Source organism: Homo sapiens, chromosome 16 (assembly GCF_000001405.40).
Source record: "Homo sapiens chromosome 16, GRCh38.p14 Primary Assembly".
In the NCBI taxonomy this organism is placed as follows: domain Eukaryota; kingdom Metazoa; phylum Chordata; class Mammalia; order Primates; family Hominidae; genus Homo; species Homo sapiens.
Window position 1 is genome coordinate 88,863,012 of NC_000016.10, and position 25,829 is coordinate 88,888,840.

General features: G+C 62.3%; 2 protein-coding genes and 1 long non-coding RNA gene across 12 annotated transcripts in view, besides 3 other annotated features; 1 reads left to right on the plus strand and 2 right to left on the minus strand.

Annotated features, from left to right (window-relative positions):
- Positions 1-321: 321 nt before the first annotated feature.
- Positions 322-7,124, minus strand: PABPN1L (PABPN1 like, cytoplasmic). Of its 5 annotated transcripts, XM_047434102.1 has the most exons (9): positions 6,341-7,124; positions 5,924-6,059; positions 3,341-3,967; positions 2,795-2,930; positions 2,552-2,619; positions 2,011-2,117; positions 1,842-1,929; positions 1,226-1,368; positions 322-784 (listed from the first exon to the last, which is right to left on the minus strand). In XM_047434102.1, exons 3-9 carry the CDS (start codon positions 3,593-3,595, stop codon positions 745-747), a joined length of 837 nt encoding a protein of 278 aa, XP_047290058.1. In that variant the 5' UTR covers positions 3,596-3,967; positions 5,924-6,059; positions 6,341-7,124; the 3' UTR covers positions 322-744. The 5 variants fall into 5 exon arrangements, with proteins under 5 accessions (XP_047290058.1, XP_047290059.1, NP_001073956.2 ...); XM_047434103.1 differs by lacking the exon at positions 1,842-1,929; NM_001080487.4 differs by lacking the exons at positions 5,924-6,059; positions 6,341-7,124 and having other exon boundaries at positions 3,341-3,649.
- Positions 749-1,499: an enhancer, noted in NCBI's record as "H3K27ac-H3K4me1 hESC enhancer chr16:88930168-88930918 (GRCh37/hg19 assembly coordinates)". NCBI's record gives its function as "activates a minimal SCP1, AML or CMV promoter by ChIP-STARR-seq in naive H9 embryonic stem cells {active_cell/tissue: H9 hESC(naive)}" and the evidence as "EXISTENCE:reporter gene assay evidence [ECO:0000049][PMID:30033119]".
- Positions 8,217-8,356: an enhancer, noted in NCBI's record as "active region_11373". NCBI's record gives its function as "activates an Ori minimal core promoter by ATAC-STARR-seq in GM12878 lymphoblastoid cells {active_cell/tissue: GM12878}" and the evidence as "EXISTENCE:reporter gene assay evidence [ECO:0000049][PMID:35858748]".
- Positions 11,481-11,633: a silencer, noted in NCBI's record as "fragment chr16:88940900-88941052 (GRCh37/hg19 assembly coordinates)". NCBI's record gives its function as "represses an EF-1alpha promoter that drives an FKBP-Casp9 reporter gene in an ReSE screen in HepG2 liver carcinoma cells {active_cell/tissue: HepG2}" and the evidence as "EXISTENCE:reporter gene assay evidence [ECO:0000049][PMID:32094911]".
- The window catches only part of CBFA2T3 (CBFA2/RUNX1 partner transcriptional co-repressor 3), a 102,350-nt gene continuing 88,367 nt past the window's right edge, over positions 11,847-25,829 (minus strand). For 3 of the 6 annotated variants that reach the window (XM_005256323.6, NM_005187.6, NM_175931.3), the window contains 7 exons: positions 22,950-23,131; positions 22,035-22,258; positions 19,665-19,750; positions 18,280-18,478; positions 17,709-17,777; positions 16,259-16,449; positions 11,847-14,264 (listed from right to left, as the gene is read on the minus strand). In XM_005256323.6, coding sequence (XP_005256380.1) covers positions 13,965-14,264; positions 16,259-16,449; positions 17,709-17,777; positions 18,280-18,478; positions 19,665-19,750; positions 22,035-22,258; positions 22,950-23,131 — 1,251 coding nt within the window. In that variant the 3' untranslated portion in view covers positions 11,847-13,964. Of the gene's footprint in view, positions 15,281-16,258; positions 16,450-17,708; positions 18,138-18,279; positions 18,479-19,664; positions 19,751-22,034; positions 22,259-22,949; positions 23,132-25,829 lie in introns of those variants that run through there. The other 3 variants (XM_047434826.1, XM_011523419.4, XR_007064926.1) reach the window with 3 other exon arrangements.
- Positions 20,504-24,125, plus strand: LOC101927793 (uncharacterized). The gene is made up of 3 exons (NR_135194.1): positions 20,504-21,207; positions 21,610-21,833; positions 22,731-24,125. It is a non-coding gene; the product is annotated as an uncharacterized LOC101927793 (long non-coding RNA).

The window sequence follows — 25,829 nt, forward strand, 5'->3', positions numbered from 1 at the left end:
GGGGGACATGTGGCAGGGTTACGAGGTGTGGGGGCACCTTGACAGGCAGTTGCAGCCCACCAGGCTGGCAGTGGCATTGACACCGCCTCAGCCTGTGCACGCTGCCCGCTTGCTGTCAGTCGCGAGGGGTCTGGAGCCCTGTCCTCATCCCACAGCCACGGCTCGCCAGCCGCCTTCTGTGTCCCGTCCCACGGGGAGACGCGGAGGGAACCGCGCGCCCCGTCCCACGGGGAGACGCGGAGGGAACCGCGTGTCCCGTCCCAGGGAGAGATGCAAAGGGAACTGTGTCCATGGGGGGAATGCACAGGAGTGCTGCTGCCATTTGCTTTTAAAAAGAGCCCAAGTTTAATAATTTATGCTTCACCATTAAGACACACGTTTCTATTTTTCTTAAAATGACTTAGTTGAAGAGCTGAGCATGCCAACCCCAAGCTGGCCTGGCACTGCCTGGGACTCTGCTCCTCCCCTCCCTCAACACCCAGAGCCCCGCAGATCCCCGTGGGGCCCATGCCAGGCTCACCACCGGGCCGTGGCTGTGACTCGTGGCTGTGGCCTTGGGTCTGGACCACCATACAAGGCCCTACTGGGCCATCCCCCCGCCAAGAGGGGGCCAGTGGCTGCTCTGGACACCCCTCTCCTCTGGCCTCGCCCCCGCGCCACTCCCTGCCCCAGCCCCAGGATGGAGCACAAGTGGTTTACTCCTGATCCAGGCCCCAGCCCCTCTCTCAAAATCGGGTCTTCCCTTTAATACGGTGAAAACCATGGTGAGAATTTTCCACGGGCCCTGCACGGAGAGAGAACACACACTGAGTGGCCTTCCAGAGGAGAAGGGGTGGTGGCCCAGGGCCCCGGGGGACAACAGGATAAGGATGCAGGGAGGTCACCTGGCTGCTCAGGCAATGCCCCAGGGGCCTTTCTGGTGACTCCCAGCTGCTCTCTTGGGAGGGTCCCACGAAAAGGAAAGGCAGTGCCAGGAGAGCCCCTTGGGGCAGCTGTAGCCCACCCTGGGGCCTTTGTGGGAACAAGAAGGGGTCACCTCTCCCAGCAGAGAGGCTACAAAAAGCGCCCCCCCCACCAGCTGATGCAGCAGCCACAGCCCTCACCCAGGCCCCGCCAGGTACATTCCTGCAGCCCCATGAGGAACGAGCTCAGGGACCCCCTCCTGCCCCTGATGCCCTCCACCATGGCCCTCGCCCCCAGGCTGCCCCCACAGGCACCCACTCACCGGTTCTGCCCTTGTGGTCTGAGCCGGGGCCTGCCCTGGAGGCCGCTGTGGGGGAAGGGTGCCCCCCTGGAGCCTGGGTGTCCTCGAAGGCCCCCGCGGTCTGTGGAGCTGATCCCAGGGAAGTTGGTTCTTTTCGGCAGCACCTGGAGCAAAGGCCTGTTTTGAGTCCTCCTCAAGGAGCAGCCGAGACCCAGCTCACAGCCCCCGCAGCCCCCACCACCCCGGAGCATGGGGTCCTGCCCGGCTCAGGATACCATTCGGGCCTACAGGGTTCCCTGCCTTTGCCTACCATAGCTGTCATATGACACCCCGTCACGGCCAGCACCCCTGCAGAGGGGGGGGTCACGGCCAGCACCCCTGCAGAGGGGGGGGTCACGGCCAGCACCCCTGCAGAGGGGGCTCCCGCCCGAGAGGGGACACTTCCCCACCATGCCACTGGCAGACCAAACCCAGCTTCAGGTCCGAGGGTCCCGCCACATCCTGTCCAGGCCCAGCCAAGCACCGTGCCTGAGACACGCTGTGCAGAGAGGAGCCAGCTGGGGCTGCTGTGTGTCCCAGGGCCAGTGGGCCAGCCCCTCTGCGCTCATGTTCCTGGACCTGGGGAGCACCGGCGCACCTTGATGACCCGGCCCCGGAAGAGGCTCTGGTCCAGCTCCACGGCGGCCTGCACGGAGCCCTTGGTGGCAAACTCTATGTAGGCATAACTGAGGGGAGGGGCAGGGAGGGGAGGGGTGAGGCTGGGCCCTGTCCGCATGGCCAGTGCCCCCACCAGGCCCCACACTGACCCCTTGGGGTGTCCAGAGAACTTGTCACACAGGATCGTGACTCGGTGGACCTCCCCACAGCGGCTGAAGTGGGCCTCCAGCTCCTCGGCGGAGCCCCCGTAGTCCACCTGCACCCAGGCCCAGACCAGCATGTGAGGGAGACGCCTGGCCCTGACTCGGGGCCTTCTTGTTAGAGGTGAGGAAAGAAACCCCAAGGCTGGGCCCCGTGGCGGGGATGGCCCCAGGCCTCCACCCCACACCCCCGCTGGGGTTGGAGGGAAGAGAGGAAAGGATATCTCGTATGGAGCGCTTCCTTCTGGAGAGCTGGAGCCTTTTAAAAAGCTTCTCAAAAGTGGAGATTTCATGTGCAACCCCGAATTCCAGCTCATGTTGAAAAACTGGAATATGTGCCCAGGCCAGTGTTTCCTCAAGGTGACGGGGCTGCCCCCAGGGTCAGACCCCCTTCCCAGCAAGGCTGCCTGGCCCATGGCCGGGCGCCAGACCCTCTGGTAGAGATGGGGCCCCATTCGCTGCCTGCCCCTTCACCCCGCCCACCACTCACGTTGCCCACGTAGACGGATCTGTGGTCAGCCTCCACCTTCTCCTCGGGGGTCCCAGAGAGGGGGCAGCCTGCGGAGAACACAGCTCAGGCCCGCAGGCCCTTGGTTCCTTCCTCACTCCTCTCACGGGGAAGGTCGCCCAGGCTTATAGGGGAGGTGACACCTTGGAGCCTGCCAGGCCCAACCTTAATGGAAACTGTGGGACCCTTGCTCAGTGGGGGGCGGCCTGTGCCCTTGGTTCCTACCCACGGTCTCAGGGCTCAGCAGCTGCCCGGCCGCGGTGCCCTCCTCTTCCTCGGCCTGTTGCTGCACTCCTGGAGGCCGTGGCGTCCCCTCGGCCTGCTCCATGGCACACACCTTCATCTTGATGGCCTCCAGCTCCTGCCGACACACGGCCCTGAGCCGGGCAGGCAGCCTGCAGGCTCTGCTCAAGGAAGGTGGGTGTGTGGCCTGCCAGCTCCAGCAGAGGGTCACAGCCCCAAGGGGCAGCCCTTCTCTGGACAGGGACACTCCTTCCTGGGGCAGCTGGCTGGGGATGAACTCGCCCCTGCAGAGAAGCCCCCGAAACCGCACCTCAAGGGCCCTTCCCCAGGCGAGAGAGGCCACCTTGACCCTGCAGTCTGTGTGGCTGGGGGCGGGGGGTCTCCTTGCCACCTTCGTCCAGGCAGGTGGGCAATGGCCCTCTCCCCTCCTAAGTCAGCTGCAGCCATCCGTCACCCAGACCCCGTGTCTCCACCAGCCCCTGTGCCCCAGGTCCCCTGAGATCCCCAGGGCCTCCACACAGCTGTTACCTGGTCAGGCAATGGGCACTCAGCCAGGTTCTCTTGCTCCAGCAGAGACAGCAGAAAGCCTGCATCCCCATCCTGGTCTTCCTCTGCATCCTCTTCCTCCTCTTTCTCCTCCTTCCCTTCCCCACCCTCTGGCCCCAGAATCTCCTTGGTCTCGTTCCAGGCCCCCCAGCCCTGGGCCTCAGGGTCTGAGGAGACCGTCTGGAGCCAGGCCTGAGTCGGGGGTGGGAAGAGAGAGCGGCTCGGGAAGGGCCACATGGTAGAGGGGCAGGAGGAAGGTGGGCCAGGCGAGGCCTCCCCTCCACTCCCCTCGCGTCCGCACCTGCCCAGGCTCTCCTGGAGTTTTAAGCCCTCCCCTGAGGCCAGCTGCTCCCACTAGAGCATTTGCAAAGGCTGAGTGGGGCTGAGCTTCCAGCCTTGGCTCCCGGCCCCGCCCCTTCCCTGTCACTCGGACAGGTACCTCCAGGACACTCTCCCTGGAGGAAGGAGAGGCTGAGTTGAGTGGGGGTCACCGGTCTCTTCTGCTTCCGCCTGGCCACGCTGTGGCTCACTGGAGCCTTGGTCTGTGACAGGGTTCACACCTCAGCAGCATCCACACGGCACGAACGCCACACTGCATGAACACTCGATCTAAGTGGGAACACGGGAGTGGTTTCTTCTAGTACCAGGGACCAAGCAGGCTGGAGAGGTGGCTTCCGACCAGGAGAGGCAGGGCCTGAGCAGAGACCGAGAGCAGGTGCATGGGATGAGAGGGCCGAGGCAGGTTGGGGCGGGGTCCTGGGCCCAGAGGAGGGGCAGCAACAGCTGTCTCTGCATCCTGACCCCCATGGAGTCCCCAGGGACCCTTGCCTCCCTAACCCTTATTCTGGGCCTTTTTTTTTTTTTTCTTTTTTTTTTAGGCAGGAGTCTTGCTTTGTTGCCAAGTCTGGAGTGCGGTGGCGCGATCTCGGCTCACGGCAACCTTTGCCTCCCAGGTTCGGGTGATTCTCCTGCCTCAGCCTCCTGAGTAGCTGGGATTACAGGCACCTGCCACCATGCCCAGCTAATTTTTTTTGTCTTTTTAGTAGAGACAGGGTTTCACCATGTTGCCCAGGCTGGTCTCGAACTCCTGACCTCAGGTGATCCGCCCGACTCGGCCTCCCGAAGTGCTGGGATTACAGGCGTGAGCACCGCACCTGGTCTGGGTCATCTTTTAGGTGGGAGCCACTTCCATGAGGCCAGAATTATTCTGCTGTGGGGCGGGGGCTCCGTGGGGAGTGACGGCGTGAGTTATTGTGGGGCGGGGTCTCCGTGGGGAGTGACGGCGTGAGTTACTGTGGCGGAATTCAGTGGGCATCCGGTGGTGTCTGCACCTGGCTTCACCCATGCAGGGTTGCAGCAGGAGGTGACCCGTGTCCGCCCTTGCGCCTCCCTCTGCACCTGCCACCGCGGCTGCTGGAGTCTGCTCTGGCCTTCATCTCCAGTGCTGCCGTCTCCCACCCACTCTGTGAAGGACTCGGGGCCAGGGGGTCATGCATGGCTCTTACCCCTGCCATTGGTGGTGGGAGACGGGGCCCCCTGCACAGCTCCTACCCCCAGGCCGAGGCCATCCTCTCTGTGACTGCACCCCGGTGTTTAGCCAGTGGGGCTGGGATTCCTGGGAATTTGGGACTGGGGGAGGAGAGAGAGACAGGGCGTGGCCTAGGCTGGAGCTGCACTGCTGCACCATGCACCACCCACGCAGGGCGGCCCTTCCTCCATCTTGGGCTGGGGGCTCGGGGAGCAGGTGGACATGGAGGCTGCCACAGCCTGGGAACCCAGGCTCCTGCACCCAGTCTGTTCTCACCTCTGTAAAAGCCAGAAGGTGTCTGAGATGGGTCTCAATCAATCAGTTTAGAGGTGTATCTTGCCAAGGTTAAGGGTGCACCCAGGAAAAAGAAACACGAAGCCACAGGCAACATCTGTGCTCTGCTTTTTCCAAAGAGGGTTTGGAGGCCGGGCATGGTGGCTCACGCCTATAATCCCAGCAGTCTGGGAGGCCGAGGTGAGCGGATCACTTAAGGTCAGGAGTTCAAAACCAGCCTGGCCAACATGGTGAAACCCTGTCTCTACTAAAAATACAAAAACAATTAGCCAGGCATGGTGGCGGGCGCCTGTAATCCCAGATACTTGGGAGGCTGAGGCAGGAGAATCACTTGAACCCGGGAGGCAGAGGTTGCAGTGAGCCGAGATCGCGCCACTGCACTCCGGCCTGGGCGACGGAGTGAGACTGTCTCAAAAAACAAAAACAAAAAAACCCAAAGAGGGTTTGGAGACTTTTATACTTAAAGGGAAAGAGCGGGCAGGAGGGGAACACAGGAAGGAAAGAAAAGGGAGGGCGGATAAAAGGCAAGTGGTAGCGTTCCTTTGAATCTCTGATTGGCAGTCACCAAATGCACATTTTGAAATGTGGAAGGTGGGGGTAGAGAAGAGAATTACGTAGCCCCACGCTCAGCGACTCTGCGTTTCCACAGAAGATAAAACTGCCACAGGGAATAGGAAGCTGGCAGGTTCGCATTCGCCTCCGGTGAGCGGAGGGTAACGTTAGCTCTGTCCTTTGTCCCATACCTGGGAAGATAAGCTGCTAGATCACACTATCTGGGTGGGATCCAGCAGAACTGTTTCAGAGCCAAGATCTTGGGACCCACAAGGAATTTCCCTGTAAGCGCGATGCGAGGAGGCACAGGCTTCTTCATCTTCGTGGCTGTCCAATTAGGAAGAAAATGGGAGGCAGGTGTGTGTGATTCGGCTCCCAGCTTGACTTTTCCCTTTGGCTTAGTGCGTTTTAGGTCCCGAAATTCTGTTTTCTTTTCCCACCTCCAGGAGGCTGACTGAAGACCATGCTGTCACCCCATCTGTTCACCACCCAGAGGATTTTCTGGGGCAGGCTCATGAGGTCGGGGAGGAATGGGCCTTGTCTGGAACCTGGCTATGGCCCTGGACGCCCCTTCCCCTCTCCCTGGCTCCGCACAGCCACACACTTACGTGTGCGTGGTCCCTGGACGCTGTTCCCCCTGCGAACACGGTGCCACTGTTTCCGGGAGGGCTGCCGGGCTGCTCCTCCTCCCTCGAGAGCCGCTGTCCTCACGCCTTTCCTGCTGTCCGTCCAGTGTTGATGACTTGGCCAGCTCTCCCCTTAGAAACCAAAGCTCCTCAGGGGCAGCGCCCACATCTGCACCGAGGACAGGTACGCTGGGTGGAGTGCGGCCTCAGCCTGGGATCCTCCTGTTGGGATGGAGCCCCCTGCCCCGTGTGTCTGTGCCTGTGTGTTGGAGGGTCTGCCAGCACCCGTGCCTCCACCTCCCTGTCAGAGGCAGGATTGCAACCAGTTCCATCCAAGACCAGAGTCTGCTGGACTCGGCCCAGGCCCTGACGCATGCCCCTCTGAGCTCGGGCCCCGGCCATGGAAAACCTTGTCATCCTCACCCTGTCTGAGATTGCTGACACACAAGGCCCGGCCAGGGCTCCTGCCAGCTGCCTGGCAGGGGACAGACGGCTCCGACCCTGGCCTTTCCAGTGACACTCTTCAAATACACCCTGTTCCAGAGCCGGGCCTGAGGATTCATGGCAGCCTGGCCCCTGGGGCCCCAGCGCCCAGGACAACTCCTATTCCAGACAGGATCCGTGTGTGACCCAACACCAGGGCCCCATGGGGGTGGCTGAGAGGGGCAAGCCGTCCCTTCCTGTGCTGTCCACCCTCAGGTCCCCTGTGTCCCCTCAGTTTTCATTTCTTTTTTTTTTTTGAGATGGAGTCTCACTCTGTTGCCCAGACTGGAGTGCAGTGGCACGATCTCGGCTCACTGCAACCTCCACCTCCTGAGTTCAAGGGATTCTCCTGCCTCAGCCTCCCAAGTAGCTGAGATTACAGGCACCCGCCACCACACCCAGCTAATTTTTTGTATTTTTAGAAGAGATGGGGTTTCACCATGTTGGCCAGGCTGGTCTTGAACTCCTGACCTCAGGCAATCCACCCGCCTCGGCCTCCCAAAGTGCCGGGATGACAGGCGTGAGCCACCGTGCCTGGCCTCCCCTCAGTGTTGTCTGTGTCCCCTGAGGTCCCCTGTGTCCCCCATCGGGGTCGGAGGTGTCATGGCCCCAGCCCCAGCACTGTCTGAGGTGGGGCTGCTCAGGCAGGGGCTCCAGTCTTGGAATCCTCAGGACCATCTCCCGGGTGTAAAGTTGTTGGGACCCCCCCAAAGTCCCCTTTGCAGGCTCAGCCGTTGCCAGCCCTGCAGGGACCCTCGTGGCTGGGGCTGCTGCTCCTCCCTGCCTGTGTGCTCCCGCCCTGCCTCTTCCCCGTCGTGCTCCCGCCCTGCCTCTTCCCCGTCGCCCCAGCCCCACGTCACACACTGGCCTGTTTGTCCCTGCAGTGTGCGTGGTGCATGGGGAGGCCCCGCCCTACCAGGCACGGAGGAGCCCCAGCAGGTAATTAGTGAATTCACGGGTGAGACGAGGCTCAGCCGAAGCCTCCTGGGACCCAAGGAGAGGAACAGCCAGGCGACAGCGAACGTTCGCTTTATTACACGGACACGGCGCTAACCCGACTATTGCATCTCACAGCATCTACAGGCCAAACCCATAGTACGTCAGACGGAGCGGCGAGGGCCACCTCGCAGCCCTGCACAGCCTGCAGACCCAGGGCATGGGCTTCTCACAACTACAGAAAACAACTCAACTCCTCTGGGAGAGTCAAAAAAAAGAGGAGGAGAAAGTAGAGAGTAAGTCCCCTCCCCACCAGGCTGCACATGGCTGTGCCCCCGCCTGGTCCTCACCGGCCCGACCCCCTCGGCCCTGGCAGATGGGGTTGGGGAGCTGACAGCTGGCCTGGCGGGGCTCCCCACCCCAGCCAGGTGGGGACAAGGGAGGCCTGTTGCCGTCATTGACGTATTTCAAAAGCAGGTTTCACTCTGAGTACTGACGCTGAGTTCCCGTTCCTCTGGGTCTTTGGGAAGCTACTCCGGGGCTTGGCTGGATTGAAACATAAAGAACAGAAAGTGTCCAAAATGGAGTTTCCTAGAACTTCGGGAAAATGGAGCAGGGGTTGTCAGCAGCGCCCTGGCCTTATCTCTGAAGTGTGCACGGGAGCTGGCGGGCCTCTGGGAGGCCAGCCCCATGGACTCCCCCCTCTCCTCACTGTCTTCCTCTCCGGCCAGCACGCTCATCATCCAGGGCCCCAGCCCCATTTTGGAGAGCACCCCCTCAGTGTGGGAGCTTGCAGGGCAGTGTGGGAGGAAATAGGCCCCGGGGCTCGGGGATGCAGGGCAGGGAGGCTGCAGAGGACCCTGGGGAGCACCCATCACTCCTGGCAGAATTTATCCAGGCAGGTCTGTTCCCAGAAGTCCCCAGTCTCAGGCCGTAAGGACTCAACTCTGAGCCATCTGGGATCCCAGGAAAGGGAATGGGAGCCTGGCACCTGTGAGTACACCCCGAGGAGTGGGGCTCCAAGAGTGCTGGGGTCTCGGGGAGGCTGCATGGGGTCACCCTCCTCTCCTGGGGACACCCCCTCCAGGCATTGACCCCTGGAAACAAGGAGTGGGAGAGGGCGGCCCTGCAGCGTCGCGGCCCTGCCAGGGAATGTGCTCACCCTGGCGCCCTGGTCGGGGACCCTGGGCAGGTGTGTGGGCCGCCACCCAGTGTGTGCTCCTGGCCCCGGCCACCCACCTGGAGCTCCAGGTGGCCCCAACTGGCCAGAGCTGTTGCGAGGTACTGGTCCCACCTGCTCACAGCACCTGCAGCAGAATTTTATCTGCCCCTGCAGGTGTCTGGAGCAGTCCTGGACTGCGCTGGGTATGGAAGAGGCTGCCGCCCACCAACAGGTTCCCTTAGGGCAACAGCTGAGGTCATGGCAGGAGCAACCCTTGTCACTGGCACACGACGGGGGGCAGCTGGTGCCACTCTGGGGTCCGTGGGTGGAGAGGGTGGGGTGGGATGGAGGGACGGCTGTGTGGGTGGCCAGAGGACACACAGAGGACACGCATGTGGGGCGCGTGGGGGTGGAGGGGTGGGTGGGGGGGAAGGGCGGGGGCTGGGGGTGGGGAAAGTGATCTCTGGGATACTGGACAGATGGGGCAGAAGAAAACGTGATGAGAGAGAAGAACCAGTCACTGGGGGCCGGGTGGCGCCGGCACGAGGACGGAGGGGCCGGCATGCACATGGCTGGGATGGATGGGGATCGATGCTGGAGTCAGGCTTTGGTGTCAGCTTGAGGATCTATTTGGAAAAACTGGCAAACAGAAGCCCTTTAGGCCCATCTTGATCCCTGTCACTGTGTCGTTTGGGTGAACCCCCCATCCCCGCCGGCTCTCCCGCCAGCCCCCCATCACTGAACCTCTCGGGCCTCTGTGGCCTGTCCCCACCTGGCTGGGCCTCGTGGGCCCTCCTGGGAGGCTGGCCCCTCCAGTCCTGCAGCCTCAGCCCTGGCCAGGTCCTGGGGCGGCCCTGGCAGGCAGAGGGGCTTGCGGGTGTTCAGCAGGCCCCTCCCAACACCCACTCCTTGAGCACCGTGGGAGACGCTGGTCTCTGCCTTGTTCAGGTCAGAGGACTGGACTGGAAGGAGCCGTCCGGGTGCACAGCCATAGCACAGAGCCGGGCTCTGCTGGGGACTGGGAGGCCCTCTCAGAGGAAGGCTTCCTGGGTCCGAGGCTGGCCGGGACAAGGAGCAGTGAGGAGGAGTGGCAAAGGCTGAGGGGCGTGCATCACGAGCCTCTTTCCAAAGAGGTCATGTTGGTTCTGCTAACCCATCAGGCCATCGTCCGGCCGGGCCTTGGGCTCCCTCACGGCTGTCCTGTCCTGGCTGTGATCTCAGGATGGGAGATGCAGCTGCCGTTTGGTTTGGGGTTTGAGGAAAAGGCTCTGAAGAGCGTTTGGCTTGCCATGGTCCTGTCTTGACAGTGGCTGGCGGGAGGACAGCTTGGCAGGCTGCGCCTCTAGCCAGTGATCTGTGAGCTTGTGGAGGTGGCAGCCGGGAAGGGGTAGAGACAGGGTGACTCTCCCCAGTCCAGGTGTGGCCCCTGCCCAGACCCCCCTCTGCCTGGGGGAAGAGAAGCAGATGCCTGCAGGTGTAGACTGCAGGTCGGAACCATGGGGATGGGTACTCATGGCCACCAAGGGGACCACCCCTAACACAAGAATGCCGCCTGTCCCCGTCCCCTCCCCAGAGCTATGGGTTCCACCTGGTTTGCTGTCAGGTCTTTGACCACCAGGGCCTGGGCATATGAGCTACAGAAAGACGGGCCTCTGAAGCATCGGAGGGGGCCCCAGAGCCTTCCTGGGCAGGAGCTGCCTTGCTTCACGTGACTCGGCCAACACCCGCCCAGGGTTCCCTGACACATTGCACCCAGGACATCCCCTTCTTCTGTCTCCGGGCCTCAGTTTTCCCAGCTGTCCTGATTCCTTGTGGCCCTCGGCCACAGGGCTCCATCTGCCTGGTCTCTGGCCAGGTCCTCATGCCAGTTTTGCACTCGTGCTGAGGGTGGCTTGGTGCATGGTGGGGGGCTACGCAGGGCAGATGGCATTCATCTTTGGCTCGAGGGCTGACCCCTTCCCAAGATCTGAGGTGACAGGGCCTGTCTCACCCTCAGCCTTGTGGTCTGGCCCCTGGAGGCTGCTGGCCAGATCGATGCAGCCAGCTGGTGCACATGCCACTGTCCCTGGTACACCTGTGTGTACCCAAAGAAGGATCCAGGGAGGGGAGGGAAAAAGAGGAGGCTTTTGCCCACAAAGTAAACTCGTGTCTCCTCCACGCTCCCCACCACAGTCCTGACCCCAGGGACCTGAGTAACCAGGGAAGCTGCCCATGGGTCCACTTGCCCTGGGGCTCGGTGCTCTAGAGACCACCGGTTCACCTGCACAGCCTTGGAGGGCCTGACTCAATTTACCCCACAGCACTGTACCCATTTCCTGTCCCCTAGAGCCTTTGATCACCACAGCCAACTGCCCTGCCCACCTGGAAGGGCACTGGAGTGTGGGTGGGGACAAGATGGAGCCCCAGTGGGGGAGAGAGATGAGAAGAGTCCCAGGACGTCTACCTCCGAGGGAGGCAAGTCCCCTTCGTGGGCACGGGCGTGTCCGCTGCTGCCGCTGTGTGGGTTCGGAGCTGGAGAACCGCAGCCCTGGAAGGAGGAGAGGCGCGCTTCTGCCACTTAACCGAGAGCCCAAATCCCAGACCGGTCCTTGCTTCTCTGAAACCCACAAAAGCAAACCTTGGGGAGCTTGCTGGGCCTGTCACTGAGGAATGGAGGTGGTGCCGGGGCCAGGGCAATGTCTGGAGGACAGACTCGATCTATCTTGACTTTCAGAACGAGGTTTCTGTTGTCAGACTTGGTTCCAGACGGTACCTGACCGGTGGTGACCCGACAGGATCCATCCTTATGATGCTCAAAGAATGAATTTTTACCACCGTGAAAGAACCACCAGCAGGCAAACCGCTCCTCCCCTCGGGGCCACTGTTCGGATTTCTTTGAAAATCTGTTTCCTACACTTCGCAAACTCCTGCGGTTTCTGTTTTTTATTTGGCAAACATCTCGTTTATTACCATCATGAATATCATTTGGACCTCTGCAAAGACTATATACATTCACATTAACGTACACGCTCAGCTTCAGGCCTCTGGCGGGCTGTTCGTGGCTGGTTCAGTAGCTGGGTCACTCCCGTATTGCACTGAGTTCCTAGAACTCCTGATAGCCACGCACACAGATGCCAGGCCACGGGCCACGCCACGCGCACAGATGCCAGGCCACGGGCCACGCCACACACACAGATGCCAGGCCACGGGCCACGCCACGCACACAGATGCCAGGCCACGGGCCACACCACGCACACAGATGCCAAGCCACGGGCCACGCCACACGCACAGATGCCAGGCTGCGGGCCGTGCCTGCTGTCTGTCCTTGTACTCGGTGCAAGCATGAATTTCTTTATCCCTTTATTTCCTTCTTGAAATCGCTGAGGCAGTTGAGAGGAGTGGAGGGAGGGTGGGCAGGGCTGGAGGATGGGAGGGAGCACGTCTGATAGAAAACGTCACCGAGACACACCCCAGGGCCAGAGGCGAACGCATCTGAGGGGTGGCTGGGCAGGAGCACCAGGGCTATGTACACGGTCAGGGTCTTCCCTGGGGAGGAGGCAGAGGGCTGCTTTTGTTTGTAGTTTTTTTGTTTTTTCTGCAAAAGTTTGGAAGAAAGGGGAGTAGCTGCGGTGGGGCGATGGGGCCGAGAGGTTGGAGTTGGGGCGATGGGGCTGAGAGAGGTCGGAGCTGGGGTGAGGGGGCCGAGAGAGGTCGGAGGGCGCGGAGAGGAGAGAGGTAGAGGAGGACGGGCTGGCCGAGAAGCAGTGTTTCAGGGAGGCCTGCTGGCTCCGCATGCTCGAAAAGCAGTCGAGAATCAACCCAAAAGATTGTCACAGTTTTGTTTCGGAATTATGCTCTCTCTGGGAAGAAAACTTTAGCACTTTTTTTCCACAAGTGGAAAACGGAAATATGAAAAGTCACAGGGGGCGTGAGGACAGACGGCGTGTCCTTTCCTACACATATGGAGACGCAGGCCGGAGCAACGGCACACGGACCACGCACACGCGGCGGACGCACCAACGCCTACGCAGAAGAGAACAAAAGTCGCTTCTAACTGGGCACAAACCCTCTGCACCCAAATATCCCGACACCCACAAACAAAATCAGAACAGAAGAGAAAAAGACCCACATCCAAACAAACCCAAGAGCAAGTGAAACAGTGAAAAAAATACTTTGGCAGTGACAAACAAATTTTGGATTTTGATTTCTTGTGTTTGCTTTTTTGGATTTCCTTTGGAGCAGAGGTGTGTCCGGTATCCTTGGCTGGCTAGCTAGCAAGGTAGTTCACAAGTATGCTTCCTTTGCTTTTTTAAAAAAACTTTTTGGATTTTTACTTAAAGCCAAAGAGTTTAACATTACAGGAAAAAAAAATCTGAAACCAAAAATGCATCTTGAGTCAGAAATCGAAATCTTTCCTCCCGTCTTCGCTGATCAGCCTCACGCCCCTGGGGGAGGGGCACAGCTGGGTTCAGATCTCCAGCTATAAAATCGCAGTTTTCTTTCTCCCTTTTTAATCAGGAGGGGGAGAACCCCCCCGTTTTCTTTGTCCATTTCTGAGTAGCTCTTTTGCCAACACACAAAACCCCCCAAAATTCTTTGCTGAAAATATAAGCCACCAATTCGATTTTTTCATTGAAGAGAAAGTGTGTGATAGTCATAGAGAGAGAGAGGATAGAGAAGACAGAGGGGGAGAGACAGACAGAGAGGAAAAGAGAGGTGGGCAGAGCCGCCGCGCCTGCGGCATCTGCTCTGCTGTCTAAAGCTCAGTCGAGGCTTCTGAGGATGCTTGAAGAGACGTTGTCAGGAGGTCTCCGCGCGGAATCATTAGGTAGCTGAGGCAGGTGCACTGAATGCGGTTTTGTTGGTTCTGTGTCTTCTTTCGGAGAGGGGCAGTAGCAGCAGTGACTAATTGGTCGGCTCCCCCAGGTCAGGCGGGGCGCAGTGTCTGGCAGGCCAGGCATCGGAGGCCAGGCACAGCATCCGGTGGGCCTGGAGCTGGGTGGGGTTGGCACGGTGCTGTGTCCGGCAGGCCAGGGGCCAGTGGGGTCAGCGGGGCACGGTGTCCAGTGGGCCAGGTGGGCTGGGGGAGCCGGGGCGAGAAGGCCCCGCAGAGCCGGCTTCGCTGGGGCTGGCAGCACCCACAGGCAGGGAGGGGCCCAGGCTGTGGGCGGCTTCGGGCGGTCCAGGCACCGGGTCGGCCACCACGGCTGTGGGGCCCTGCAGGCTCTGGCCACACACGTGGTGATGCTTCTCCCAGTCCCGATGCTGGCAGAAGGACCCGCAGTAGCGTGCCGCGTTGCAGCCGCTGCACGTCTCACTGGCTTTCCGCCCGCAGTTCCAGCAGCTCTGGGTGGGGGCAGAGGGGCCAGTCAGGGCTGGGTCTGGCCACCCGAATCCCCAACACACGCCTCAACCAAGCCATTCAGACCCAGCCACGTCATCACCAGGTGAGAAGAGAGAAACTCCAAAGCCCCACAGCCCTCGGGCCATGCTCCAGATACAGCCACTCACTGGGCCATTTTGCGGGACGGCATCCCACTACCGTGTCTCACGCTCCAGCCCACCCAGATAGGTCTGCGCTGTGCTAACTGGACAACGACCCCTGCCTCCTCTCCAGGAAGCCCTCCTGAGCTCACCAGGCTCCAAAACCGCAAAACCAAAGGGCGTGGCCCCGGCAGGATTGAGGCTGCTGAGATCTCACCATCCGCCTCTGCTGCATCCACACCCACCCGTCCCCCTCCCCACCTCTGCCCCACCCCTGCCTCTGCTGCACCCCCTCCACCTCTGCCCCCACCCTGTGGTGGGCTCTGCTCCCTTCCCGTAGGGTGAGTTGTGCCCTAGGCATCCCTGTGGGCAGAGGGGGTGGGGGATGCCACAAAAAGCCTGTGGGCAGAGCAGGTAGGAGATGCCACACAAAGCCTGAGCATATTTCTTCTTGGGGCCTGGCTGGATCTCTCACAGACGGTTGGGCTGTGGGGTGGGAAGCCCAAACCTGCCCTAGGGGAGAAGCCCAGGTCCCTATTTGGCCTCCAAAGCCTCTGGTACCACCTCCCACCCCACCTCGCCCTCACTGCCACTGCAGCAGCAGCTTCCCTGCGGACTAGGCACTGCCAGGCACAGTCCCCGCTCCAGGCCCTGGCCCCTGCCGGTCCCTCCGCTGGGCCCGCTCCCCCGATGCCTGCGTGGCCAGCTTCATTCCTCCCGGCATCTGCTCAGGTGTCACCTGCCGTGAGGCCTCCACAGCCCCACTCCCCACACACTTCCACCTCCCGAAACTGCACGCCTCACTTCTGCGTTTGGTGTTTCCTTCTCAGTGCCAGCTCTGTGAGAGTTGTGCCTGTGGTGGTCTAGCTTCTCCCTAGCTGAGAGCAGGCGTGGAAATGGCCGGTGCAGAGACCCCTGAATCGATGGGGCTCCATCTCCTCCCACCCCGGGGCTGGCCCAGGCACAGATGCACACAGGGGCTTCAGATAGAGATCCGCCCTATCTCAAGGGACAGTCCTGGGGCTCCCCTGGAAAGGGTCTCTCCCTGTCCCCTCTTCGTGGACAAGGCAGAAAAGGGTCGCGGAGGGTCCTCTGCCCCCGCCTGCCTCCCAGGTGCACGGGCACAAGCATCGTAATTCTCAGGCCTGCCGTGTGCACCGGGAGGGAGCCGGGCGCCTCGGACGCCACCTGGGGCCCTCACAGCTCTCCTGGATCCTCCTGTTCTCACAGGCTAGAGAACACGGGTTTCAGGCCAGGCACAGCGGCTCGCTTCTGTCATCCCAGCACTTTGGGATGCCGAGGCGGGTGGATCACCTGAGGTCAGGAGTTCGAGACCAGCCTGGCCTACGTGGCAAAACCCCATCTCTACTAAAAATACAAAAATTAGCCAGGTGTGGTGGCGGGCGCCTGTAATCCCAGCTACTTGGGAGGCTGAGGCAGGAGAACCGCTTGAACCCGGGAGGCGGAGGTTGTAATGAGCCGAGGTCATGCCACAGCAACAAGATCACTTCAGTCTGGGCAACAAGAGTGAAACTCCATCTCAGCATCAGCCAACCTGGGCTCGAGTCCTGGCCCCACCGCTTCCCAAGGCCGTGACCTCAGACAAGCTGCCAACCCTCTCGAGCCCTCAGTTTCTGGAACTACAGAACGGGGACATCCATAGGACGCCTCACTGAACCATGTGGGATCTCTGTGCTGATAAAGCACAGTGTGGGCGGGGATGGCGTGCCTGCTGCAGGATGCCCGTGACAACTGTGCTGATGCCACGTGGAGGCTCAGAATCCTCATGGGGGTGGCGTGGGACCGCACGGGAGCCGAGGCAGGGGATGGGTGTCAGCGTGGCCGGGTGGCCCTACCTCGCTGGAGTCCTCCTGCTGGTTGATGACCGTCAGGGCGTCCTCGGAGGCCTGCCGCTTCGCCTCGGCCAGGGCCCGCTCCATCTTGGCACGCTCCGTGGTGATGAGCTCGTGCGCTTTGCGCTCCGCGTCCGACACGGCTTTCTGCAGCTCCGACATGGCCTGCCGCTTCACCTCATTCACGGCCTCTTCTGCAAAGGACATGGGCAGGGCTGGCGGTCACATGGGCCATCCCAGATGGGTCTCTGGACTTCCTACGCGTGGCCACAACCTGGGGACAGGGGCTGTGTGCAGCTGAACACACGTACCATCTGTGCACACAAAGGCACATGTTGATGGGGCTGTAGGCAGCTGAACACACGTAGCATCTGTGCACACACAGACACACGTTGATGGCCCTCATGCCTGTGCAGACAAGTGCATGCAAATAAACACAGGCATCCCAGGCATGTGTGTGCAAAGCTGGGTCACGTGGTGTCACAAGTCAAAGCTTGCACTCTACCGCAGCGGCTCCCCAGGCACTGCACCCCTGCAGGGCAAGGGCGAGGCCCACCCCAGGGCCTGGTCAGCCAGGGGCGCACCCGGAATCTGCATTCCTAACGCGAGCCGGGGGAGCTGCTGCTGACCTGAAGCACTTGGATAACTCTGCCGTTCCGCCTTCACCTCTGGCCCCACCCAGACGCAGCCCAGGAAGCCCCCTCGTCCAGGGCTCTGTGCTGTCACCCCAGACCCTGCTGTTATCCTCACCGCACTTGCCATCCTTTAACCTGGCTGGCCTCTGAAGACCATGCTCCCCGACCCACACACAGCCACACACAGATCCTGATCTGTGCTAAGATGGGGTAGGCTCAGAGCAGCCTCCAGGGAGCACTGCCCACGCAGCTGGGGAGGCCATGTTTCAACTCCACCACTGAAAGAGACCCTGAGGCCAGCTGGAGACCCCGGTACCGCTGCCCAACCCTAACCCTAACCCTAACCCCAACCCTAACCCCTCTTGCTGCCCACATATCTGGCTCTGCCCCAGCCCCTCCCCCAAGGCTGATTCCCACGGCATGAGCAAATGTCCCCACAGCCTTGCCCAGCGCTCAGCTCCACGTCTGCCCCTGTTCTGACCCCATTCTGCCCGGACTCTGGCCCCGCGTGCCTGACGCGCCCAGGCTCCGAGTGTGTGCGCTTCTGCGTGCCCTCCTGGGTGTGCAGGTCCAGGACCCACTTTATTCTGCTGGGCGGCCACCGGTCCGTTTCCTGGTAGGCGCAGGTAGCAGCTGTCCTGCCCTAAGTGTGAACCTACTCTGACCTCTCCGTGAGCCACACAGCGGAATGCAGAAAGCCTTGTAGCCTGAGCCCCCAGAGAGAGACAGAAGCTCTTCAAAGCTGAGCCGGTGAGAGGCGCATCTGGGGCCCTGGCCTCCCACAGCTCTGCTGGCCAGGCCCCTGCACCCCCACTCACCAGCCTTCCTCCAGATGTCCTCAGGCACGTAGCCGGTGAGGGTCCTCGGCAGGAACTCGCGAGGCACGTCTGAAACAGGGGCCGGCGTCACACAGGATGGGCCACGCGGCTGCCCCTCCCACGCTGGGGCCCTCCCCACCCTGGCTGGGCCCTGAGTGCAGGGCGTGAGTGTGTGCGTCCCTGGGGGGAGGCCCAGGTGCCCTCGGACAAGGTCTGGCTCAGGCACCCAGGGCAGTGCCCGGGCACGGGGGGCATTGGAGCTGTGGACCTTGGACTCGGCTGGGAGCCGTGTGTGTCCTGGGCCTCTCCTGTGTCAGCATTCGTCGCTGAGGCGGAGAAGCAGAGACCCTCAGGGCCTCCCAGCTCCGAGCCTCTGGCCCACCAGACGCTCTGAGCTCCAGGCTTCCTGGCAGACCAGCCCGTGTTTTCCTACAAAGTGAAAAAGGTGCCTCTTTCTCAAGCGAAACTGTTCTGCCTGGTGTTTCGTTGCATTGCCTGCCTGACAGCTCCCAGGTGTCCGCCCCACCAGAGCACCCCGTGTCTGCTCCCTCCCCCCACACCCCACACGCACCTAGCTGAGGCCCTTCGGGACCGGCGGAGCTGCTGCGGGGCCGGGCCGCGGCGGGAGCGGGGCCCTTCTTTGTGTCCTCGGCGTCGCTGTAGCGCCGCGCCCAGTGGTTGAGCTCCTCGCGGTCGGCCTCCTGGCACCTGCGCAGCACCGTGAGCGAGCGCCGCGTCTTCTCCACCATGTCCATGATGCAGTTCAGGAGCTGGGGGCGGGCGGCGCAGCCTTCAGCACCTCAGAGGGACCGGGACGCACCAGACACTCCCCCAGCCCACTCGGCCAGAGCCCCGGACAGGATGGGTGCCCGACCAGCCCACCGCCCGTGAGAGTAAGGGGGTGAGGGAGGGCCCACCTCCATGGCTTGCAAAGATGGGTCCCTAGCCTGGGACTGCCGAGCGCCTGGGGGTACCAGACTCACATGGACACGTGCCTAGACGCACGCAGGAGTTTGGGATTCTCCTTTTTAACCCGCTCAGCGGGGCTCTGCCTCAGGGACCTGGCTTTCCGCCTGGGCTCCCCTTCCAAAAAGCATGAGGGCGAGGGGCGAGGCTGACAACAGTGCTGGGAGGGGTGCTGGCCCCATGCCTGGCGACCCCTCCTGGGACGTGCTGCAGGATGGGGTGGGTGGGTTCTGAGGAGCCCAGTTCCGGGCCGTCCCCGAACACGTCCTGCCTCAAAGAGGCCTCGGCACTGCTTTTGCCCACACTTCTTGCAAGACTCAGGATAGACTCTGGGAAGAGCCAGTGAGCAGAAAGTAAGTGGAGGGAAGCAAGGCCCGCCATGAGGGTTTTAGGAATCCTCCTCCCTGGGCCTCTCGAGATGCCTGGGCTGCGCTGACAGCTGGGAGGAGGGGGGCTCAGGTGAAGGACCCAGCCGCTGCGCAGGGACGGCGCAGGCCACACAGGAGGGCACTGAGCTCAGGGGCGCCCACACAGCCCTGCTGTCTCCAGCAGCCCCAGGCCCCATGGGGCAGAGCCATGGCCGTGTTTATGCATAGGCATACAGGTGTGGCTGTGTGGGGACATGGCTGTGTGGGTGTAGCTGTGTGTGGGCATGGCTGTGCGTGGGTGTGGCTGTGTACATGGGGGGGTTGTGTGCATGGGTATGGCTGTGTGTGTGGGTGTGGCTGTGTGTGTATGGCTGTGTGTGGGTGTGGCTGTGTGCGTGGGCGTGGCTGTGTGCGTGGGGGTGGCTGTGTGTGACTGCACGGGCGTGGCTGTGGCTGTGTGGGCGTGGCTTGTGTGGGCATGGCTGTGTGCATGGGTGTGGCTGTGTGTGGGCATGGCTGTGGGCGTGGCTGTGTGTGCATGGCTGTGTGTGCGTGGCTGTGTGTGTGCGTGGCTGTGCGCCTGGGCATGGCTGTGTGGGCGTGGCTGTGTGTGGACACTCACGTTGTTGAGGTGCTTCCACTCTTCTGCCCACTCACGCTCTGTGAGCTTGTGGTCGATCACTTCTTCCTGCCGGGACCCAGGCACCACTGTGGATGGGGGAGGTGCACGCTTAGGTCCCACCCACAGCCAGTCTCTGCCCTATTCTCCCAGACCCCGCCCTCTGCTCCCAGGCCCCACCCGTGGGCTGTGCCCGCTGGGGACGATGGACAGGGTAACCGAAGGGCTGGTTGACTTGGTGACCGTGGAGGATGCCTGGGTTACTGAGCCGCCTGGGGCTCTGGGCCGACTGCTCTTCCCCTGCAACACGGCACACGCCTCCAAGGGAGGGTTCAGTCTCAGTCCCATTCTGCAGCTGAGGAAACTGAGGCTGGTTAAGAGGATGTGTTTGCCTGTGGTCACCAGGCAGGGAGCGGTGGGGGTGGGGTGTGGACCGAGGCTGGCTGGAGCTGGAGCAGTGTCCTCAGCCACTGGCCGGGAAGGCTTTGTTAGACTAAGCGTGGCCTGAGGATGCCTCAGTGCCAAGTCACACCATGACCTGGACCTGCCTTAGTCCGTGAATCAATGGGTAACCTCACTGGGAGGAGCTGGTCTCAGTCATTCGCGGCAGCCCTCTGCGGTCACCCGCAGGCGCCCATGACTCCGATGAAGCCACGCCAAACACCACCCAACCACGTGGCCTCGGCACCCGCCTCCTGTCTCTGCCTGTGAACACCGCCAGCCAAGCCGAGGCCAGGGCTCTCGGAACACGCTGGCTCTGAGGCCCATCCTATTCGGGGTTGTTCTCTGCTCAGTTAAACTCTGTTCAATACAGCGTGTCTAAGGTTTTTCCCTTTTGACAGGCTCCAGGACTGAAGCCGCAGAGGCCACTCCCACAGGTCACCAGAAACTAAGACGTGAGTGACGCCCGGCAGTGGCCGACTCTTCCGCCGTGGCTGTGCCCATGGGAGACGTGAGTGACGCCCGGCAGTGGCCGACTCTTCTGCGGTGGCTGCGCCCACGGGAGACGTGAGTGACCCCGGCAGTGGCCGACTTCCACGGTGGCTGCGCCCACGGGAGACGTGAGTGATGCCCGGCAGTGGCCAACTCTTCTGCGGTGGCTGTGCCCACGGGAGACGTGAGTGACGCCCGGCAGTGGCTTACTCTTTCGTGGTAGCTGCGCCCACGACTTCTGGAGACATCAGAGGCTTCCAGGCCCCACTGTTTTCTGCATTTGGCCACTGCCCACGCTTCTGGGGCTGAGGTCTCCCTCTTGGGGCCCTTTTCAGCCCCTAAAGATCTCCTAGCCTCCGAACCTGAAATGGCTCCCCCAAATTGCAGAGGAGGTGGGGAAGTGGCAGCCACAGCTCAGTCACCAGCCTGCTCTGCCGCCTGTGAAGCTGCAGCTGGCAGCAACACCCCAACCAAAATAGTGGCTGAGACGTGCCCGACAGCTGGCGTTTATTTCTGTATTAGCAGAATCGGGTGGGAGTCAGCACCTGCCTGACCCGGCTGCAGCATGCCAGACGCCGTCACCTGCTGCCTGGGCCCTGGAACCCTCCGCAAGGTGGGGGCTGGGAGATGGCCTTGTGTAGGGCAAGGCCTCTGCTGACCCTGCTGCTGGGCCCCCACCGGGCCCTGGGCCTCTGTCTCAGCATGGCAGACTGGAGGCCTCCCTGCAGCCTGTCCTGGGGGGGCTCCTGGGGTGGGGCTGGGCCTGACCATCTCTGGGTTCTCAGCACAGAGGCCGTCAAAACGTCAGGCAGGCTGGGCTGTGAGACTGTGGGTGCATTATGTGTGCTCTCAGGCCTCAGTCTCCTCATCTGTGGTATGGGGGTGCTGACGCCACCCCACTGACGGGCTCAGAAACGAGTGAAGGATAAAATGCACCGAGACTCCGTGCCCACCTCTCTGTTATCCACACCAGCCTGGCCTCACGCAGAGACTCTGTGCCCCTCTCCTGCTCTAGATACCAGCCAGGCCTCACGGCAGCCCTTGCTGGGCCCTGCATTAACTCCCCCAGGCCTTGGACTCTGAGAGTTGGGACTCTCGTCTGGCCCAGGTGACAGAGGAGGAAACTGAGAAGCAGAGAGCCACGTGACTCACCTGTGGGTGGACTGTGGGAATCGCCAAGCTCGGATGAGAACCACGTGGGCAGTTCCAGGCCCGAGGCCGCCCACCCCGGGGGGAGAGGTGGGTTCAGGGCCCAGGACAGGCCCCTCTGCAGCCACCGCTCTGCTCCAGGGGGAATGCCAGGCAGGGGGAAGGGGTCTCCCGAGCTCAGGTGCACACAGCTGCCCGTGGTGCCCTGTGCCCACATGCTCAGGTGTACATGTGGGCGCATGTGTGCTCCTGTAACACGCGTCCACGCTCCCGCCCCACCGGGCTGCTCACCAAGCGGCCGATGGCGCTCTCGTAGCTCCCGGGGGTCTGGGTGGCGGTAGGCATCTCGGAAGTGGTGGGCCATGGCTATGTCCTCCAGGCGGTAGTGCGGCGGCGGTGTGGGCTGCGGTGGCCCGTTGCTGGGGCTGTAGCGCTGGGCAGGGTTCAGGGTGCATGGCCGTTTGCTGAGGTGCTCGGGGTGCAGCGGGTCGCGGTCTGACCCGTTCTCTTTGGTCCTAGCCCCAAGAGCAGGTGGGGCGAGGGCAGTGGACATAGGATGAACCGGGGACAGAGGTGCAGGTGGGGTGAGAGGCAGACAGGCAAGGGCAGAGAGAAAGAGGACACGTAAGGGCGAGACAGAAACACGGAGCAAAACACCAGCCCCGGGAAGCCCAGCCCGGCGCCCCCACTCTCTGCCCCTCTGCCGGGGCCCATGCCAGCCTCAACCCCTGCTCCAGCTGCATGGCATCCTGGGGCCTGGTGGTCAAAGAGCCGGACTCGCTGCTCTGGGAACGAGGAGAGGGATACACCAGGCTTCCGTAACTGGAGACCACCTGCCCCTTGGGCAGCAGCAGCACAAGAGCGTCTGGGGCAGCAGAGGGGGCCCAGCCCAGGCACCTGGGGACCATGGACCCCGGACGCTCGGAGTCCATGCCCGGCACACAGGGGAGAGCCGTCCTCCCACCAGCCTCCTCCCTGTCCTCCTAGGCTCCCCGGAGCATCTGAGTCTGCAGCCCACTGGGGTGTCCGCCCGTGCAGCCACCAAGCCTGCTGGCCCTAGTACACCTCGCCACGCTCCCTCAGCCCGAGAGAGCCGGCCGGGCTGGCTGCAGCCCCAGAGGAGGTTCCCTCTCTTACCCAGAGGGGAGCAGGGTGAGCCGCGTGTCCACGGCACCCCCAGCCCAGATCCCCGGAGCCCACAGGTACCTGTCGGGCGTCCTCCTCTTGCCGTTCTCGTTGACTTCCAGTAGCAGCTCTGAGGAGTCGATGGGGGAGGAGGCGCTGGCGTCCAGCAGGAGCTGCTCATGCTGGGCCAAGTACTGGGCGGGCGTCTGCTTGGCCAGGCGTGCACAGTGCAGGAGCTCCCGCTGCAGCAAGGGCAGGTTTGCCTGTGGGGTGGGGAAGGAGGGCCTGGGTAGCATGCAGGGGTGCACAGCCCTGCTCAGGTCCGAGCAGAGGGGGCCTGGGCTGGGTGGCCGAAAGCTCAACTTGACCTCGGGCCTCAAAGGTCAAGGTGCTCGACCTCTCTGGGCCTCAAGTTCCTTCCTAGCAGTGCCATGGGAGGGTGGCGTGGGAGGGTGGGCACAGAGCTTCGCAGGAGTGCCTCACCTGGGCCACACGGCGATGTGGGGCATGTGGGACTTGAGCCCAGATCCTGGACTCCCAGGGTGGGGCTTTCCCACCGCACCCAGCTCCCTCCCATGGCGTGGTCTGGAGAAGGCGAGAGGACGAAGGGGCAGCAGATCATGGTTGGTCTTCCCGCCTGCACCCGCCCTGCCCAGCAGGCACCACATGACCCAACACAGCTGGGGAAATGCAGGCTCAGAGAGGGGGAGGCAGCCCTGGGCCTACAGGCGGCTCACACGAGGGAGCTGGGAGTGAAACCCAGCTGGGATTGCCTGCAGTGTGTCTGCTCCAGCCCTGATGGGAAGCCCTGAGGTTCAGCTTCCCCTTCCCTTCCCGCTGGTTTCCAGCCTTGGCCTTGATGGAGCGTGGACCTAGGACGTGGACACCCACGTTCTGTGGCTGCTCAAGTGATCCTCCAGCCTTGGTGAGGACGGCCTCAAGACCCACGTGTGCGGGTAAAGACTCCGCAGCATGCGGCCGAAGGACGGCCCGGTGTACGGGATCCGTATGCAGACCCTGCCTTTGACGCCTGTGTGTACCCGCGGCGCCCGCCGCCTCGTCCTTGGCTCCAGGCTGGCACTGCTGGGCCGCAAGCCGGGCTCCTCGGGTGCCTTCCCCAAAGTCTTCCCAGAGCTGCCGCGGGAGGGCGGACAGGCGTGCTGGACCCTGAGCATGCTGGACCAGGGCCCAGCAGCAGGCCACTTGGGAGAGCCAGCGGTTCTAAGCATTTGTAAATAAATCCAATTCCCCAACTTTCTCATGCGTTTCAAAGCTGCCACGCCGCCTTCTCCTGCCAGCGCCTCCCCATTCCCCACGAGTGCATCCACCAGGCCCTCGAGCAGTGCCGGCTGCCGGCCTGTTTTTCTCTTTGGATGGCTGAACAGGGGCCAACCGGCCATCTGTTGAGGACATCAGGAGCATGAGCTGGGAAACGAGGTCCCGGGAGGTCTGAGGAGCCAAACATCCTCCCTCCCTCATCAGCCCCTCCCCAGGGGCCTCCTCTTGGTCAGTTCGGGAACCGGCTGGTCGCTGTTAGGGCGGGGAGAACATCTGGATCCCTGGCTGGCTGGGGCCAGCTGAGGCCAGCTGGGAGCCGGGGCGGTGGGTGGGGCTGCATCCCCCAGCTTCTGGAAGGCCTGACCCTTGGGCTGCGTGTGGGGCAGGCTCAGGAAAGGGTGCAGAGAACCCAGGACTGGGCAGCATCAGCGTAGGGGCCGGATGCACAGCAGCCCTCGGCAAGCAGGGAATGTTTCCTCAAGGCCTGCGGAATGGGGTGGGGACTGTGGGAACCTCCGGCAGTGCCTCCTTCAAGGCAGTGTCCCCACTCTGTCCCCAGGAGCCCAGGGCACCCGGGGAGGTGTCACCACTAAAATGCTACACACACTGAGCTGGTCAAAATGCCCCAACTCCACCACTGAACGGAAGTTCTGCCTGCAGAACTTCTGAAGCTGCCCTCTGCACAGATGGGCGCTCAGGCTGGGGAACTGGTGTTTGCAATGACGGCGGCGGTGGCTGAGGCACTAGTTGAGCTACAAGGGCTTTCGCGGACTCCGCTGCTCTGCCAAGCACCCAGCTAAAGCCTCCCTGACCGTGGGCTCTGCCATAGAGGGGCTGTGGCCTTGGGCTGGTCATTTAACCTCTCTGACCCTTGCTGTATCTGCAAACTAGCGCTGTGGAGCCTCTGGCCGAGACAGACTCCGGGGAGCTCCGGGTGAATCAGCTCAGTCCTTTCCCACCACCCCGTGAGGGAGATTCACCACCCCAACTACGAGAGAGAGGGCCCAAGCCAGGGCTGGGGTTCCAGCCAAGCAGGCCCCCACTCTCTCCGGCCCCTCAGCCACGATTCCTGCCGTTTCTAGGATGATGTCTTCAAGGACTGCGTGAGAGTACCCCAGACTGGGCCTGGCGGGCTGTGGATGTCTTGGGAAGGTGCTACCCCTCCCCCAGCCCAGGCCACAGTCAGGAACACCGAGGCCCAAGGGGACTGGCTGGGGGTCACTCCCACTCGGCACCTCCTGTCTGGCCTGGGAAGGTCGGACTCCCCCACTGCACTCTGTGTCTGAAGGGGCTGCGGCCCTGCAGGGGTGTGGGTGGGGTTGGGGGGGTGCGGGTGGGGTTGGGGAGGGGTGGGGTGGGGGAAGGGTGTGGGTGGGGGAGGGGTGGGGTGGGGGTGGGGTAGGGGTGGGGTGGGGTGGGAGGGGGTGGGGTGGGGTGGGGTGGGTGGGAGGGGTGGGGTGGGGGCTGCTCCCTGGGTGGGACAGTGACAGTAGGGCCAGGGTTCTGGCTTGTATCTGAGCCACAAGACCTGGAAGCAGGACTGGCCGCAAGATCTTTATTTTTTATTTTTGAATCCTCCTGGCCTCCCCCTAGAAGCGCCATGTCAGAGAGGTGAACAGACTTCATGTCCCACTGGCCCCGGGCCCCGGGTGGGGGCACGAGGTGGGCTGGCCCTGAGCTCCA

What these genes read in the sequence shown, in the direction of transcription:
- PABPN1L (NM_001385709.2), bottom strand. Translation starts at nt 3,595, where the DNA reads ATGTGGCCCTTCCCGAGCCGCTCTCTCTTCCCACCCCCGACTCAGGCC. An exon ending in GCTGAGCCCTGAGACCGTGG is followed by an intron (nt 2,620 to 2,794) that starts GTAGGAACCAAG and finishes TGTTCTCCGCAG; the next exon opens with GCTGCCCCCTCTCTGGGACC. An exon ending in AGACCACAAGGGCAGAACCG is followed by an intron (nt 785 to 1,225) that starts GTGAGTGGGTGC and finishes CTCTCCGTGCAG; the next exon opens with GGCCCGTGGAAAATTCTCAC.